The sequence below is a fragment of the Homo sapiens genome, chromosome 2 (assembly GCF_000001405.40).
Source record: "Homo sapiens chromosome 2, GRCh38.p14 Primary Assembly".
NCBI classification, from domain to species: Eukaryota; Metazoa; Chordata; class Mammalia; order Primates; family Hominidae; genus Homo; species Homo sapiens.
In genome coordinates, this window is record NC_000002.12 from 169,141,415 (window position 1) to 169,160,539 (window position 19,125).

Consider the following 19,125-nt stretch of genomic DNA (forward strand, 5'->3'; position numbering starts at 1 on the left):
ACACACAGGGGGTTTTGTCTGTTTTGTTCACCTCTGTTACCTCCAGCACTTAGAACAGTGCCTGGCACATAGCTGGCACTCAAGAAATCTCACTGGACTAATTGCTTAATTATTATACCAAACCGAGGCCCTATATGGAATGACTGCCATCATTCGTGTGCTTACTTCGGTTAAAGTTCTTTAAAACAAGAATCTTAATAAAATCCACTTGGCAAAAAGTTTAAATGAGAAAAGTAGTAGATGAGGTGACAACCAGGACCACACTGCTCCCACGATGTGAAATTGCAGTAAGTGGCAAAACAATCTATCCACAGCATGGAACAAATCTCAAAGCCTGAAATTGTCATTTTGTTCCAAATATGGCTCGAAATATTGGATTCCTACCAATATTTCCCCAGTAGCGTTGGGATGAGTGCAAGAGTAGGGGAAGAGGGGTGACAAGAAACAGTTTTTTCTCCCTGGATTCATTCCCTAAACCTGCCAACTCCTCAGCCTGTTTGGAATGAGTCAAAGGGTGGTTCCTGGTCTAACTGCCTGCTCCCCCTGGTGGTAGAAGGTGGTTAAGCGTTTTCCTTTCCCCATCAGCTAAAACTGGGGGAAGGCCCCAAGGATGTGAGCCATAAAATGGGCCGCTAGTGAATTGCAGGACGACTTTTTCACAGGCTTTTCCAGCACCGGATGCTAGTTAGGGACACTAGTTATTCGCCCCCATCCGGCTTATTAACTCCTTAAAAGAGTCATTGAAAAAAAGTCTTGCCAAGAATAGATCACCCACAGCGTTTGGGACTAGAATTAAACCACAGCTTCCTCATGCTGGTCTTCGTCTCCTGATAATATAAAGCACTTTTCAAAAGGTAGCCCTTTTTCAGTTGTCAAAACTGGACATGGTTCTCTACCCTGAGGAGCTACAATTAAGGTTGAGTGGATTCTGGGGCAATGGGAATCCAGCTTGAGGTAGAGGTCTTATAAAAACTCACTCTTCAAAATGTCTTTACAAAACAACACAGCAATAGATTTAGGGACACTGGATCTATATTTCTGCAGATCTTAGCAAATAATTCTCAGCAGTCACTGGAACACAGTTCTGTTTGCCCCCTAAGTCCCACTCAACTCTGTTCATACCTCCCACATCCCTTAACCCTCCTTCCAGCCATCCCCACTCTGCTGCAAAGGACCCAGCATACAGGGATTCTTCTGACTCCTGAAGGCAGCAGAGGAGTGCTCCCAGGCCCCCATAGCTGCTTGGGCAGTGCTCCTACCTGCATCACACTCAGTGGTGCTCCCCTCTATAAAGCTGGAGCCTTGGGGACAGGCACAGCTGTATCCTCCAGGTCTCAGAAGGCAGAGGTGGCTGCAGATCTGTTTGCAAAGGTTGGGCACTGGAAAGCGGGTGAGAACAGCAGTTAGGTCCTGACAGAATGAATAACCTGAATACCCAGCAACTGGAAGTGGCTCTGCCAGGTGACAGCAGAGCCTAGGCATCCTCTCAATACCTCTCGTCCACGTGTCAGCTGGCCACTCACCCTCATTTACACTATCATCTCTGCCACCACACTGCAGTGGGATAGTCCCTCTCTGGGCCCTCCAGCCAATTTCTGTACCACTCACATTTTCTATTGGCATCACTTATCTTCTCTGCTGCCCTGAGAGGTTTGGAAGGTGGGTATCTGGTTCACTGCCTAACCTCAAAATCTACTCAGTGCTAAACAACTTGAGATGGTTCAAAAGACCAGTGAGATCCACATATTATACCAAGATTTGTCACTACCCAAAACTGGACAGATCATAACATATGGTCTATCCAAAGTATACTGGATGTGATTTCCACCCCAACCCTCCAAGGAGACATTTCTTCTGGGTTTCAGTTACCTTAATTGCAAGAAAAGGGAATTTAGAGCAATGGTTCCTCATAATCACCTGGGAGCTATTCAAAACTATTGATGCCAGGCCAGGCGCGGTGGCTCACACCTGTAATCCCAGCACTTTGGGAGGCCGCTTTGGGCGGATCACGAGGTCAGGAGATCGAGACCATCCTGGCTAACACAGTGAAACCTCGTCTCTACTAAAAATACAAAAAAAAAATTAGCTGGGCGTGGTGGCGGGCACCTGTAGTCCCAGGTACTCAGGAGGCTGAGGCAGGAGAATGGTGTGAACCCAGGAGGCGGAGCTTGCAGTGAGCCGAGATTGCACCACTGCACTCCAGCCAGGGCGACAGAGCAAGATTCCGTCTCAAAAACAAAAAACAAACAAACAAAAAAACCTATTGATGCCCATTCACAGAGATTCAGATTTGAATTGGTCTGGGGTAGAGTTCAAGTATTACCATTAAAAGCTCCCTAGGTAAGTCTAGAGCCTTATTAATTCTACCTTAGCATGTATTATGATTTATCCAAGGGTTGTACTGGAGTGGATAATCTTTACATTCCTTCTCAGACTAACATTCTGTGATCCTGATTGTCTGTCATTCAAGATGTAACCACAGACAAAGCATAGCTATAAATTAGTAACACATCTTCCAAAAGCCTCCATCAATATCTGTCTCATTACCATTTCGTCGGCCCTCCAGAGTGGAGATTTTCAAACTTGAATGTGCTATCCATCACCTGGGGAATCTTGCTAAAATGCAGATTCTGATTCAGAAGGTCTGGGGTGGGCCTGAGAGACTGCATTTCTAGCCAGCTCCCATAAGGATCCCAAGACTCCTGGCCCATGGCCCACACTCTGAGTAGCAAGGGACTGGAGCAGCGGTTCTCAAAATGTGGTCACTGAACCAGCAGCATCAACGTCACAGGAGAACTAGAAATGCAAATTCTTAGGCCACCTCAGGCATATTGCATCAGAAGTGCAACAGATGGGGCCCACGAATCTATATTTAACAAGCTCTCCAGATAATTCTGAGGCATGCTCAACTTTCAGAACTCTTGGTTCAAACAGGCTGGGCTGGGGCTGTACTCCCCATCCCCACCCCCACCCCCACCCCCACTCCACCAGCACTTTCCAAAGGAGCCGCCTTCCCTGAGCATCAGCTGCCGGAGGGAGATGCTTTTCCTTCAGGGGCAGCCTCCAGACTTTCCTCTGCCTTCTCCTCAGGGTCCAGAGGCGGTAGGGAGGGGAGATAGCCTTTCCAGGTGTACTGTGCCTTCCTCTCCTACCTTTAAAATTGCCAAGTGTGAGAGCCGCAAGGGCACTTAGGACACAAAAGCTATTCTATTGGTAGGGTCTGGAGTATTCTGGAGTGTTTTGGTGATATACTTCCAAAACAAGGAAGCCATGCCCTAGAAAAGGCATTTGCCACCCCTGTCATCTCATGGGAGTCTCAGCTTTGAGTTGCAATTTTTCAAGGCTGATCAAGGTCTCAAAATATCAGCAGACTCAAGACAACCCCAGACTCCACCCATGACTCACATATGGGGACAGGAAGGGAGTAACTTGTCAAAGGCCACATATCCATAGCATTCAACCTGGGACTTTGGCATACTGAACACTGGGCCAATACAGCAAGATGCTGAGTTTTGGGTTGGATAGAATTGAACCTAAAAATTATTTCATTTCTGAGATTAAAACTCACCCATTTGTTATGTGACTTAGGCACACAAGTTACTAAATCTGTCTCGGCCTCAGTTTCTTTATTTGAGATGAGAATAAAATGTCTTTATAAGGTTTGGGAGGTCTTTATAAGGTAATTGAAGTAATAGATGGCTGAATTAACACTGAAGAGAGAATTTGACATAAGAACTTAGTAAAAGGCTATTTCCTTTCCTCACTTCCCTTTGCCTTTCATCTTGCTCCACACACTGCTGAAGGATAAATTAGCGCACAGGTAACCTGAGGAAGCAGGGCCCAGAAGTGGGAAAGTGAGACAGAGGGGAGCGGGTAGGAATGCACATGACTGGCCATTTTAAACTAAGACCTACATATCTCAGGTTGACCTGACTAGCCTAGCCTTGCAATGGGAAGGATAAGATTTCTGATGCCTATGAAACCCATTTTGTGACTTGTTAACCCAACTCACATTTAGCAGGGGACTGATGTCTGCTGGATTCTGTGGCCTAGAAGTACATATCCATCACTCCAAACAATGATGAGGGCTAATATTTTTACTTACCTGCTGATGGTTTGCATAATTTCATTTGACCACCAATTTTATCTTTCTTTGGTGAAAATGGTTAAAACGTTCCTCTCCCCCAGCAAACGTACATACACATATACCCCTTTCATGCACCAAGAGATTAGCTTGTTGTTATCTACTGCCATCTTCCAGCAATATAGCCATTATTTTGAAATAAGATTTCCAAGTAATGAGGAGCATCTTATACCAAAGTTGGTGATTACCTGACTTATTGTATCTGAGTTGATGAAAGATTCGAACTTGAGTGAGCCAAGGGTTCACTACCAGCGTTTTCTCTTTCTTTCCTTGCCCAAATTTATTTTGTTTCCATACTTCTCCCTTTTCCTTAGATATCCAGTATAACTGGTCTTCAAAGATGTCCAGGCTGTAAGGGTTCATTGCTGCTTACCCACAGGGGAAAAACAAAACAGAAGGTTATTGAAAAGAAAATACCCACTACACCCTACCGCCACTTCTAGATCTGATGTCATTCTGCTTGAATTATTCCCTCATACAATGCCTTGAAGCTCTGGGAATATTCAGGCTGACTTTAGCTACATGGGACTGTGAAAGTGTGCTGCATTAGGAGGTCAAGAAGATAGAAATTAAACCACATTGATGTATACCACCCGACACCAATCACAGGGCCCTAGCTCACTTTCAAGTTACTGATTTTACTGCATTTTTGGAAAACAATTTAAATGGCAAGATTTTATGTTTTCTTTTGAACATAAGACATCTATCTGACCAAATAGGAAAAATGTGATATGTGCTGGGTCATTGCAATTCTGCAGAGTCTGAACAACAACAACAAAAAATGTTCATCTCCTAGATATTTACAGTTGTGCATACTGGGCAATCTAGTAAAGTGAAAATGAATGTGTCCAGAAGCGGTTAGACATGAATTAACATTGGTACACATGAAACCACCTCTACTGGGGCAACCTAACAGGAAACTCAGTTATTTCAATATCTTCTGCTGAGAAGCATTTTTTTTTAAAGTTGTGTAAAAAGGACGAAAAGGATTTAATTATTGCTAATGAACTCATCTGCATTTAATTCAGCAGGTGGGAGTTGGTGGGGGTGGAGGGGTGGTATCTAAAAAACTATATAAGCCATTTCCTAAGAGCAGGGCTCCTTCTTGAGAAAACAGGCAAAGACATTAGAAATATGTTAATTATTAATTTAATATATTACTTTCTAACTAATTTCTAACCTTCCTTTGCAATGACTCTCCTATCAGTCCCATCATATTTTATGGTTTCAATAACGTCCTCCTTGAAGTCACTCCAGTAGATTCGGTCATTGTTCAAATAATCGATAGAAAGGCCAGTTGGCCAACCAAGGTCCTCGAAAACCAGGATGTTGCGGTCCTCTCCATTCATCCAGGCAGACTCGATTTTAGGTTCCTTTCCCCAGTCAGTCCAGAACATAAGCCTATAACAGAAGATTTCTTCACTGTAGCATCTCACCTGGTAAGACTTCTCCACTACAGCAGAGCACAGGGCATTACCTACAGGGAAACCAACTGTTTATCTCAGGGACCTGGGTGCTCAGTGACACCAGTTTTATATTTTACAGAAGATGGGGAGCAAAAATAGGGGCGCAAGAGCACATATGATTTATCCTTCTTGAAAACTGCACCTCCTTAATAGAAATTGGCCGAAGGATGGATATTCAGACCCTTTAAAATGCATTATGAAAGCTGTATTATGAAAGCTGTTCACTCTTCAAGAAATATTATTGAAGGCCTACTGTGTAAGAGGCACTGTTCTGTGTTTGGGATCTATCAGAGAACAAAACATACAAAGATTTCTATCTTCATGGAGCTACTCTGTTGCCCAGGCTGGAATGCAGCGACATAATCATAGCTCACTACACTCCTGGGCTCAAGCGATCCTCTCATCTCAGCCTCCTGAGTAGCTAGGACTACAGGCATGTGCCACCATGCCTGGCTAGTTTTTTGTGTTTTTAGTAGAGACGTGGTTTGACCAGTGCTGCCCAGGCTGGTCTTGAACTCCTGGACTCAAGCAATCCCCCCACTTCAGCCTCCCAAAGTGTTGGGATTACAGGAGTGAGCCACCACACCCAGCAACTCTTTTTAAATATGTCTTTTGCATCCAATTAATAATTAATTGTAGAGCAAGGGTCTATGTAAGCAAAGATGATCTCACATTGAATTACCTAGACCAGGGATTGCATGATTTCAAATACCTGGAGAGGAACAGGTATGTAAGATGAATGAGGAGAGATCCCGGTTGTAAATATCAAGTGATGCGGAGAGCAAGACCCTGTGTAAGAGCTCCTGTCAGTGCCCAGGAAGGCAGACCTACCCAGTGTAATCCGCTCCTCTGATTTCCAAAGCAAGAAATACAGGTTTTCTTTCTTTTCTTAAATTTTAAATGTCAGCACTATGTTAAAAAAAAAAAAATCTTAAAGCTCTGTGTTGTCCCAGCCAAATATGTCCTATGGGCCATATTTGGCCCACCAGCCGCTGCTTTGCAGCCTGTAGTCTAAACCAGTCATCAGGCATAGGCCAAGTTTTAAATTCTACTGACGAATGTGTGGATTTTAGACAAACTGGGCTCTGGAAAAAATGCAGCCAGGGGCCTTTAAAGTCTCAACAACTGGTAAATACCACCTTGTTTGGTTTTCATTAAAAAGGACACACATGTGAAAGAAGCTAGTCACAAAGAACCACATACTGTAGGATTCCATTTGTAGGAAATGTCCAGAATAGGCAAATCTATAGAGACAGAGAGCAGATTAGCAGGTACTGAGGGCAGGAAAATGGTGGCTCAGAGGAACAGGGTTTCTTTGTAGGGTGATGAAAATGCTTTAAAACCGATTATGATGATGGATACACAACTCTGCATATACCAAAAGCCAGTGAATTGTACACTTTAAATGGGTAAGTTGTATCATACCATACATACCATATGTGAATTATATAAGCTGTTTTCTTAAAGATAATAAGCCAGGCATGGTGGTGTGCAAGTAGAAGGCTGAGGCAGGGGACTGCTTGAGCCCAGGAGTTCAAGGCTGCAGTGAGCTATGATCATGCCACTGCACTCCAGTCTGGGTGACAGAGCAAGACCCTGTCTATATAAGTAAATTAATTAATTCAATTTAATTTAAATTAAAAAGTATTAAATACTCAAAACTAAAAAAAACAAAACGTAGGGAATGGAATGGAAAAAACACACAAAAGGTACACAGAATGATTTTTGTTTCCTCCATGACTTCGTTTATGCTATTGCCTGAGCTTCTGAACAGCCGGCCTGGCTCCTTTGCCTATCAGTACCCAAGACATCCATCTAGGTTCTATGTCAGTCCCACTTTCTCTGGGAAGTGGCCCTTCTCACTCTCACCCACATTGACCTCACATGTCACATACTTTATCACTGGTTATACTACCAGTGGATCCCAACCTTCAACATTCAGTTCAGTGCTACTTTCTCCATAGAGCTTCCCTGAACCCTTGTAAGGTAGGAGAACTATCACAGTGTTTTTCAGCAGTGTCCTCATGACAATTCTCCCTTTGTATCTTATATTATAGTCAACAGTTGCTGTCTGAAGGAGCATGGTGTTATTTTACCCATCTATGTAAATAAGGGATAGAAACCTATGACTAATTTATAGATCCTTTGTACAATTCAAATGAGTTTATATATGTAGGACACTTAGCAGAGTAGCTGGCACACAGCAAGAATAGAATAAATGTTGGCACTTCTCATTGCTGTTGCTGGTATTATCAGTAGTTATCATCTTCATCATCCTTTGGACCCACTGGCAGATCTTATACCGCAGAAGCTGTAAGAAGGTTCAACACATCATATATGCTTATGCTTATAAAACTTATGGATGATGAGCCTTTCAAATGGATCATGAAATGAGGAGGTTGTAGGTCGGGTCTGCAGGCCTTAGGCAGTGAAACCCTTTCTCACTCCTTTCTTACTTCCTATCCCTCACAGGACTACACTGAGCCATTCCAGAGAGAAAGGAATTACAAAGACTAAAATAAGAATTTCTGGCCAGGTGTGGTGGCTCACACCTGTAATCCCAGCACACTGGGAGGGCGAGGCAGATGGATCACCTGAGGTCAGGAGTTCAAGACCAGGCTGCCCAACATGGTGAAACCCTGTCTCTACTGAAAATACAAAAATTAGCCCAGTGTGGTGGTGGGTGCCTATAATCCCAGCTGCCAGGAGGCTGAGGCAGGAGAATCACTTGAATCTTGGAGACAGAGGTTGCAGTGAGCCGAGATCATGCCACTGCACTCCAGCCTGGGCAACAGAGCAACACTCCATCTCCAAAAAAATTAAAAAAAAAAAAGAATTTCTATGAAAAAAACAGTGGAGGGATATCAGAGTATGATAATAATATCAGATGAATTTAAACATTAGTTACAGAGGAAAAAATTAAACGGCACACTGGAAACAGTCACATCATTCACACCATAGAACACACTGCATCTCTTTGCTCCTAATATATTGTGTAGATAAGATATAAGCAGCAATGACTAATGCTGAGGACAAGTCCTCACTACAGGTTAATCTCATCAGTCAAGTATTTTTCATATTTCATTGCTGAGTTTCTGAGGGTATGATTTAACATATGAAATATAACAGAATTAAAGTAATAACAGCTCATAGGGTTCTACCTACAAATACTGGCATATCTACAGAGGGCTAGACTGGTCCTGCCCAAGTAGGAAAATTATTTGGGGTCATTCAAAAAACTTTTTTAAAGTGTCACTATTCTGAAGCTAAGCTAATATGTAAATACCAAGTCATTTCAGCTTAGTGATTATTCAAATAAATGTCTTGAAATGTAGAGAAAAATAACAAAACTTGTTCTCATTTACACTGAGATGATTTATAGATAAATTGCAAATTGGAATATTTATACAAATGGATAATATATATTTATACATGTGTCATTTTAAATATTTATATATTTTGGATATAAATGTTTAATTTTTAAATGAAATATGACCAAATCCCTAGCTGGATTTCAATGAATGAGTTACTTTAAAACATCCAAATGAAAGGAAAAACAATTCTGTTGAAACCTTCACTTAAAACAGTTATATCCACAAAGAACTTTAGAGTTCAGAGCTCTGATTTGGCAAGGAATCCATGTAACTAGAAAGATTCTCAGATGTGTTCTAAAGGAATTTCCCCATCAGAAATGGTTGGTTCTATATGATCTCAAGGGCATGTTATAATTCTTGAAACAGTCATAGACGCTACTCCCAAAAACTTGAAGGACAATTTCAGTTAAACTAGGAAAAAAAAATTATAAGAAACATGGAATTTGATGAGAATCCAGGGAGAAATATCTAGATGTTGAAGACTTCTCCAAGTACTTACCCTAGTTTGGGATTCACAGCAATAGCAGCTGGTTGGTCCAGGTCAGTGGAAATCAGCCACTTTCTGTACCTTCCATCAAGTTTAGCCACCTCAATGCGTTTATTCTTGACATCTGACCAGTAAATATGCCTGAATTCAGAGGGACAAAGTTAAACAACTGCAAAGCCTAGAGTAATCATTACTGGGTAAGAGGTTTGAAGATGAGAGCATTTCGTTTGGCTGGTGAGACAGCTGCTCAGATACCTATCATCAGACCATAGTCCCCCTCTCTTGGGGGAACTACAGCCAAGGGGACATGTTTGGCAGGTTACACTTGGAAGAGTAAGGAATTGAGGGGACTCCTGCCCAACAGCCAAAGCACCTGAATCACGCAGGATCCACAATGGAATTAACTCAATTCCAAAGACTAAACAGGAAAGTCAAATTTCCAATCTGTTTTAACTACAAGCCTGCTAAATACACAAGATGTGGATTGCTCGTCCCCAAGATAACTACCATAGACACAGCAGTCAGACTGGCCTCTGACTGGCATTATTATGAGACATGGGCTTCTAGGTAGAAGTCATAAGGCACGGTGGGGCTGGTGCCTTAACTCTGACTGCCCATGAGTCTGTTTCCTCCTCAGGAAAGAGCCCCGTTAGAATCAATAGGAACCTGGTGTCAGCTCAAAGATGAGTGGAAACAGCCTTTTAAAATAACAAACTCGGCAAGACTGTCCTGCCTTATTTCCACTTCTGAGGCTGCAGGTCTCAGTCTCTTACAAGCAGAAAAAGTTCCACCACTTTCTTAATTCTCTTATTCATTAAGGCTGAGAAAGAGGTAAAACTTCAAACAAGAAGACAGATCTGCCATTCCCTGGTTGGTTTTCAGAAGAGAGTGTTAATGTCTGGAGTTTTGAGTTCCTGACTCTAGCAACAGTACTCTAAGGCCCTGTTTCTTGACTGAAAATGCTAAAATGAGTCTCCTGTTAGCCTGCAGGCACAGCGGGACCCAATTAGCTTCTTCAAAGATGCTCTTCCAGGAACACCAGCCACATTTTTTAAAAGGTGAAAAAGAATTTACACTGAAAATAACTATCCATTCTCCAGGAGAGTAGTGTCTCCTGAACCTTCCCCCTCAAACATGTTTGCATTATTGGTTCATTTTCAAGGAATCATTTTCCCACCAATGTAAGTCAGTGCAAACCTCTTCCTTGAAGAATGAGCTTACTAACTTCTCCACATCCATTTGTACCTCACACACCTACCTGATGATAACCCTACTTAAGTTCTACTTAAAAACCATCCAAAATGTGTGGCTCTGGTCCCTGGGCCACTAGAAGGTCTAGAAGAACAGAAGAGACTGACACCTCTATTAACTCAATTCCAAAGACTTCTTTAGTCAAATTTCCAATCTGTTTTAACTAGAAGCCTGCTAAAAACACAAGATGTGGATTGTTCGTCCCCAAGATAACTACCATAGAAAAAAAGTTTCATCTCAACTGCTTTGCTGGGAGAATTGTGAGGCTGTCCCATTTCTTCACAAAATGAGCAGTGCTGCCATACTGAAAGTTAATTTTGGAATCCAGAACTCTGTTGGCAAGAATGCTATTCACTTATAGTAAATATAATATTCACTATTATATCCTAGATATAATATCTATATCCAGATATTGACCTGGGTGCTTTCCCAATTTTTTTCATGGCCCACAAAGAATACAGGATATGATAATGTCTCCATGACATGCTGGGGTAAGTGGAGGTAGTTGCTGGGGCTTCAGCAAGCCCAACCACTGCCCAGCTGCACCCATGGCTGAGTGTACTCATATCCAGGCCCAGACTCACTCATGGCCCATGGAGTGCAGTAGAGAACTCTAACCAGGAAAACAGAACAGGTAAGGGGGGAATGTATGGCAAATTTACCTTCCAACCCAGTCCACTGCTATTCCATCTGGCTGCATTACGTATTTCAGTTTCAGGTCAACTTCCTGCACAAGATTATTGCGGCCGGATTCAAAGTTGGGGATGTAGGCACGTTTGATAGCACCAAACCTAGAGCCCTCCCCTCGCACAGTGTAATACACAACACCTACAGAGGAAGACACACAGGTCAGTTTCATGTCAAGAGCATCAAGTAAAGGAAGAACAGGGGTCTAATCAGGTGAAGTACTGTTCGTTTATTGACATCTCTACCTCCCTCCTCACTGTTGTTATAATATGAATAATTCAATGACATCAGTATAATCAAACTTTAAAACCTATCAAACTTGAGCTATGAGCTACAAATGCTTCAACTGAGAACTTAGTGAGATTTAGTCATCTCTATTTAAAAGTGATTCATTTAAACGTATTTCAACAAAGTGCTTATTTACTCTTATTAGGATCAAGTTCTAGTTTCCAAAACAGAATGTATAGAGATAAACCAGGGCAGGCTGTTGAGAATTTGAAAGCATACTCAAGATCAGAGGCAATAAAGAAGCCATGTCAACGAGAAGTCCTATTTTATATACAGACAGAAGGATGGTGGACAGCAGGCATGTTAAAAGCATAGGAAGACTGTGACTGTAGAGGGATGCACTGGACACCTGCTGCTTTCCTAGGTATGCACCATTCTTGAAAAGTGTATTGTATTGCATGAATATGTGTGAAAATACACCAATAATAAATCCTACATTGGTATAGTTATTGATAGTTTTCAAAGCCTTTCATATCTACTATCTCATTCAATCTTCCAAACAACTCTCAGAGGTAAGCAGACAGAACAAGATTACTACTTTGATTTTGTAGAAAAAAAATTGAGATTCAGAGAATCGTTACAATTATTTAGGATCACAAAGCTAGTAGATAAGGGAGACTGGCATAAAAGATAAGTTTACAGGCACAGAAGACAAGTTTTCTGACTCCTACCCTACTGTCATCTCCCCCAACACCAGATAGAGCCATGAGAGATTCAACAATAAGCATTATTCATCTTTTTCCTTCATTCAACTAAATTTTTTGATCACCTACCACATAGAGTGTACTAGATGTTGGGTCAGCTGCTAGGCATTTAGAGATAAATTAGATTCAGTCTTTGTCCCCAAAAAGCAGATGTCTAGAGGATAGAAAGATATTATGTGGTCAACTAGCTATATAACTTAGAGTAACATGTGCCATAAAATGACATAGATTCATGGTGAGCAATCATAGAACTCTGCCAGAAGGAGTGATAGAAGTTGTCACAGAGGTGGTGACATTAAACTGGGTCTTTGAGGTCTGAGTAGAAATTTTCAAGGTGTACAATGGTAGGAAGGAACAAGATCTGCAGTATCAAGGACAAGGAAATTTCAAAATACAAGAAGATGTGAGATGGTCCAGAAAGGATAAACCCCAGTGATCGGAGGAGTTTTAGAAAGAAATCAGGAAAGCTTGGCTGGGATTCAAGGCCACGCTAAGGCATCAGGAGCATGCTGGATTGGAAGAGTTTCCTCCTCCACTAATGCAACAAAATTCACTCATTAAACAATAAATTCCTTAAAAGTCAACACCTTAAAATTCTATAAAGTCACTTAATATCAATGAAAGATGCCAAAGTTTATACTCACTGAGGCCTATGTCCTTGGGATCCCAATCATAATCAACAGCTTGGATATATTCCTCATCTTGAAGATACTCTGAGAACCTCTCAGATGAGAGATTATATTTTCGAATTCGGACATTGTCAGGCAGTAGCAACAAAGGAGAGCTACCTGTAAACAAACAAAGGGCTACTTTATCTGTTTGAATTATACTTTCCTATATAAAGTAGGATATAAAATGCACAGTATGTACCTGTCCCCTTTTTAAAGAACATGAGTTTTTATAGGAATCTGACTATCTCTGTTAATCAATAAAGCTGACTCTCCAACTGGGTTACAAAATCCGTGACTTGACATTCTCCACTTCAAGTGGAAAGCTAATATGTCTCTTAGGGACATTATCAGTTCTTTATTCTTTGTACTCAGTGGTAGTATGGAACAAAGCTAGACTGAGAACCCTACGTACAGTCCTCATTTTCACTGAATTGTTTTTATTTACTGACATCAAAACAGACTAGACTGCAGACATTCTATCTCACAGAAGAAATACTTTTATAGTCTTACTAAAAGTTTACCAGAAAAGTCTCATTCCTTACTGTTTCCTGACAGATTTTATGATTCTTTTTAGCAGGTAATCAGCTCTATGACCCAATTTAGCTCCTAGCTAATGACAAAATAAACCTAGCTTGTCCTTGATTTAATTTTTTTAACCTAAAGCAGCTACTTAATGGTGACTCATCCCAAGATGCACTGTCTAGAATTTGTTAAGTTTAATTTACTTGCATAATGTCAACTGAATCCAATTTAAGTAACTTTTAAAAGTTCATTTTATATATTTCCTCTATCTTGACATTATGTTTTATATGAATATTCCAATTTGTTTCAGTCATGTCCTTAGTTAAAGGATTTAAACATTTAAAAAATTGCTGCTTAATTACCAGACCAACTGTTCAAATGCTTTCACTCTAGTTTTCATTCACTGTCAACAGTGTTTTGAGGGTAAAATATGTAAGTATGCTAGTCAAATGTATGCTTTAAAAGCTCAATTTGTATGAAGAAATTGAACAGCCATTTTGGCCATTTACTCTTAATTTACAAAATAAAGTGCTATTTTCTTATCAAGTTCCTTAAACTCTAGTACAAACTTCAAATTCAAAATAAAGACCCATGCCTCTTAACTAGGATATGATGATTTAGATCAGGCCTCTGGAATTTGGAGTATAATACATCTGACTTACATTCTTTCTCTGTTTTATTAGGCCCGATTGTCAGACACTGGCATCAACCTAAAACGTAAAACTCATGATTGAAGTTATGACTGTGCCAGACTCCTTTCTGCCTGTGATCAGTAGTCCATGAACAATACAAAAGGGATATGTCCTTGATTTGCCCCAATTCACGAGCCCTCTTGGACTACTGGGCCTCAAATCTTATTCTCAGTGGAGTGGGAGCTAGAGGGCCTTGTTACCTTCCTTTTATTGATGACCATCCCATAGGCAAGCTTTTGTTATTGTTTGAGCCTTAAGAAAGATGACATCTTGTCCACTTTTTGAAGTTTTTATCAAGGTAGACAAGAGGCTAAATCCATTATAATAAGTAACACCTGGCTCTTGTTTTAATTGCTACATATTTGTTGGGGGATGTAGCTATTGTTTTAAGCTGGCAGGGGAGGAGAGAGAAGGAGCGACTAAAGAGGTGTTGGAAGAGAAGCAGCTGGCGAGTTTAAAAAAAAAGAAAGAAAAGAAAAACTATGAGAAGCTGAAGTTTCTTTCATCGTATAGTGTACTTAGCAGTATTTATTTCCCCAAAAGTCAATTAATCCCAACATGAACCCATCATACCCTCAGCTGCACATCGTTTTCCAGGGCGGTCACTCATAGACGTGAAGCCATCAGCACAGACACACTCATAACTTCCTTTGGTATTTCTGCAGTGCTGGGGACAAGTCCCAAATTGTTCACATTCATTGATATCTGTAGGCAAAATAAAACCAAATACGCAACATCTGTTCCCATCCATTCCTTAGAGATCTTGCTTCTGTTTAAACCCATATTCACCAGCAATGAGGACCGAGAAGGGTACAGATGAAAATAAGCAATGATACAAACATTTGTGAAACACTAAGTTTCAGATACTGTTTCACATGCTTTTCAAATATTTTCCTCGTTTAGTCTTGCCAAAAGACTTTAAGAGGTATGGACGATTAAGCCCACAGTCCCAAAGCTGATAAGCAATGGAGACAGGATTTAAACTCTATGACTCTGCAATAGCAGAGCACATTTTCCCTTTCAGAAGGCATATGTTGTGTTGTATTGTTCGGTGTCTCTTCACTTCTGCTAACCAGCTTCAGGAACAGGAGTCATTGATTTAGTTTTTCAATTGAGTTCTTAAGCTTCAAGTCCAAAAGGAACTCTTACAATCTTCTGACTATGACATATCATGAATTAGAAACAGTAAATTCAAATACTAAAAGGCACCTAAAATCATGCTCATCACTCACCATCTTGATAAGCTACCTTCTGACTCCATACCTTACAACTCATCTATGTCTGGCGTAAGTAGGTGTATAATAAATACGTGTTGGTTGTTTGACTTACAATGAAGAAAGTAAGCCTAGTTTGTTTTTTAAATTAACTTTGATTTCACACACTGGTGCAATAAGCAGCCATCATCACCAAGGCCTTCATCATTCATATCAATTCCACAGACTCTACTGAGCACACAGTATCTGACAAGCACTCAGGTAGGCACTGGTCAGATAGCATGCATGCAGGTGGGGGAAAGCAATTCTTGAGTAGTTTAATGACCTAGAACCATGAAACCATGAGTATGGTACCATTAAGGGAATTAAATAGTGATTTATTTAACAAAGGGGAGTGGGTGGAGAACCTTAGATGTAAAGTTCACCTAAACAGGAATTGGAAAAAATATACTCTACCTAGACAGGAGGTTCTGTCAAAAACATTGGTTTCGAACCCAGCTGTACAGGAGCAGATAAATCCTCCTTCATTTAATTGGGTACAATTTTGCTCGCATATATTTTCAGCACATGTTCTTTCTTTTCCTTTATCTGAAAAACAAAATCCCAGCATTACAAACCAGATCAGCCACAAATAACAGTCAAGTGGTGTATCAAAAGAAGCACCTACTCGTAACCAACTATAGGACATCTTGAGATAACCCCTTTCCATAAGCCTTGGAGAGGACAGAGGGCACTGGGGGAGTCAGGATTCCTATTTCTGATCGTGATCTGAATACCATTTAGATAAATGCATATAATGCTAAAACTTTGAGGCAATTTTCACATTATATGCAGCACTCCTAGGCTTATCCTCAGAGCATCCAATTCTGGACTGCACAACTATGAAGCCTGACACTCTACAGCTATTACCACCTGCTCTACTATCTTTAATCCTATTGCAAATAGATAGATCAATAGATAGATAGAGAGATAGATGATAGATCGATAGATAGATAACAGATAGAAATAAATAAATAAATAAATAAATAAATAAATAAATAAATAAAAGACATGGATACAGATAGGTTAGAACAAAGTTACAAATAGGAGGAAATTATAAAATTTTAAGAAGACTATAATTTCCCTAACATTGACCAATTGATTATATACACACACACACACACACACACACACACACACACACAAATATATACATGTATATCAAGTGTTGACCAGGGTGCAGTAAAATACATAGAGTTCTAAATCATACAACTGCTCTTAGAGCCATAAATTAGTACACAAGGAAAGAAATTTTGTACTATGTATGTATGCACCAAGGACTTTAAAAATATTCATACTCTTTTACCCAGTTATTCCATGTTAATGAATTTTCCCTTGAGAAGGAATATGCAGTATAATTTACGTTTAAGGATTATAAAAATATTTACAATAAGAACATTTGTTTGTAAACAACTTGAATGTATGTTCAGTGATAGGGAATAAATTATGTTATAGTATAAAAAAACTAAGACATTAATGATGCACCATTACTTTATGTAACACTAAAATTGAATATGTCTGGAACTTACGCTGACATGTTATTAATTGTAAGATATATATCTTGGTTTCAAAGATGTTAAAATATAAAAAAATACATCTTAGAAGCAATAAGTTATGATTATCTACATGATGAATTGCTATGTGATTATTAAAATTTATAGTTTCAAATGATACTTTGACATGGGAAATACCTATAATAAATTGAAAAAAAGACTGAAAAACTCCATTTAGTATAGAATATTTCTTAATTTTTCAAAATACTAAGAAATATTTCTTACATATACATATGCAAAAAAAAGATAGCAAAAGTACACCAAACTTTAAAGGTTAGTTCTCTTTTAGTGATGGGATTCAAATGATTTTTACTTTTGATTGTTATTGAACTTTCACAGTAAAAAAAAAACAAAAAAAACACAGTTTATTTTTGTAGAGCCCATATAAATGATCCCTGTTATTCTGATCCAGATGTTCCAAGACAGACTTTTAACAGCTCACACTTTACCCTAACACTTCATTGTTCATCATTGCCCCAAGATCTTGTCTCTACCAATATCTATCCAAGCCATCTGGCTTTCATCCTTGTCATTCTTATCAGTTTGCTTCTTTTATCCTCCATCTATCCCCAAACCTAGGTCTTACAGAAAAACTGGCGAAGATGAACATAGATAGTGAGTGATAATGGGGGAAAGAGAGGCAGTGGTTATCTCCATTAAGGATTTAAGCTTCATCTACCTCTCAAATAAAAAGTCTCCTGGTCATAGGCTTCTGAGTATTTTAGCCAAAGAGACTGTGGTATCTCCTGATTTAATTCTTTCAAATCAAAATAGATTTATATCTATCTGTTTTCCATAGTATGCAATGAGGTGAACTTAATCACTCTCAGAGTCCTTTAGGGTAAATGATCATATCACTATATGTGGTCTGAGTACATTAAGAACACTGGGTTTCAAAAAGAAAAATAACCAAAATAAAGTACAATGAAATTCAATGGAATGCTGCCCTTGGAGTGCAGACTTCAAAGCTGTATGCATGAAAGTCTTATAATAAAGATCCTAGCCTTTATTATAGGAGCTCTTAACAACTGTACATTGTTAAAACATCTATTTAGATTTTCTATTTTTTTCATGAGCCATTTTCAGAGTTTTGTGTCTTTCTAAGAATTTATTCACTTCACGTAAGTTGTTTGATTTATTGCCATAAAATTTGTCATAGTATTTCCTTACTGTCCTTTGAATTTCTGTGAGATTAGCAGTGATATCCCCTCTACATTGCTAAATGAATCTGACCTATGTTTATTAACTTGGATATCATTGAGCCAGTCACATAACCTCCATGGGTCTCACATGCATCACTAGACTTTGTAATTTCCTCCTAGCTCTGAAATCTATAAAGGGATTAGGGGTCCCAGGAGTCAAGAATTTCTGGACCAAGTGATCCACTAAATGAGTCACCCTTTTGTGAAGCAAGAGTCCTTAACAAGAGCAGAAACCACACGACACTGTAGGATTCTTCCTAAAATGTGAGGGCTTTCTTATCATTGTTTTCATTTGAAAATGATCACCATTTTAACCCGTATAACTGATTTCCCCAAACCCAAACATATGGCACTCTATTTATAAAAGAAATACCCTACTTTCCATTTTATGAAGAAGGAATAAGAACTACCAGAGAAACAGCAAGTCAATCTATCTTTATGATCACATAAATAATATTTGCAACCTGAGGTTAATTTCTTTCCTTTATACCTGAATGGTGCTAGAAAAAATGCTAATGTATTTTCATTCCCAAAAATTTGCCAAGACAGTAGACTTTAGGTGCTCTTACCACAAAAATAATTTTTTTAAAGATAACTATGTGAGATAACGGATATGTTAATTTGCTTGATTATAACACATCACTATATATAAGTACATCAAAATGTCATGTTGTATACCTTCAATTTTAAAAAATCGAACAATGTGTCTTAAACACTTCAGTGATGCTTTTGGAGAAGAAGAAGATGAAGGAGGAGGAGGAGAAGGAAGAAGAAGAAGGAGAAGAGGAGGAAGGAGAAAAAAGACAAAGGCAAATAAATTAACAGCACCCA

The 19,125-nt window shown here is 39.6% G+C and overlaps 1 protein-coding gene across 4 annotated transcripts in view, besides 1 other annotated feature; it reads right to left on the reverse strand.

The window, feature by feature from the left end:
* Positions 1-19,125, reverse strand: part of LRP2 (LDL receptor related protein 2) — a 235,426-nt gene that overhangs the window by 14,306 nt on the left and 201,995 nt on the right. For all 4 annotated transcript variants that reach the window (XM_011511183.4, NM_004525.3, XM_047444340.1 and 1 more), the window contains 8 exons: positions 15,957-16,088; positions 14,860-14,991; positions 13,046-13,189; positions 11,385-11,550; positions 9,484-9,612; positions 5,325-5,545; positions 4,333-4,509; positions 1,260-1,379 (listed from right to left, as the gene is read on the reverse strand). In XM_011511183.4, the coding sequence (XP_011509485.1) occupies positions 1,260-1,379; positions 4,333-4,509; positions 5,325-5,545; positions 9,484-9,612; positions 11,385-11,550; positions 13,046-13,189; positions 14,860-14,991; positions 15,957-16,088 (1,221 nt within the window). The remainder of the gene's footprint in view (positions 1-1,259; positions 1,380-4,332; positions 4,510-5,324; positions 5,546-9,483; positions 9,613-11,384; positions 11,551-13,045; positions 13,190-14,859; positions 14,992-15,956; positions 16,089-19,125) is intronic.
* Positions 365-659: a silencer, noted in NCBI's record as "tiled region #15259; K562 Repressive DNase unmatched - State 12:CtcfO". NCBI's record gives its function as "represses a minimal TATA promoter and a strong SV40 promoter by Sharpr-MPRA in K562 cells {active_cell/tissue: K562}" and the evidence as "EXISTENCE:reporter gene assay evidence [ECO:0000049][PMID:27701403]".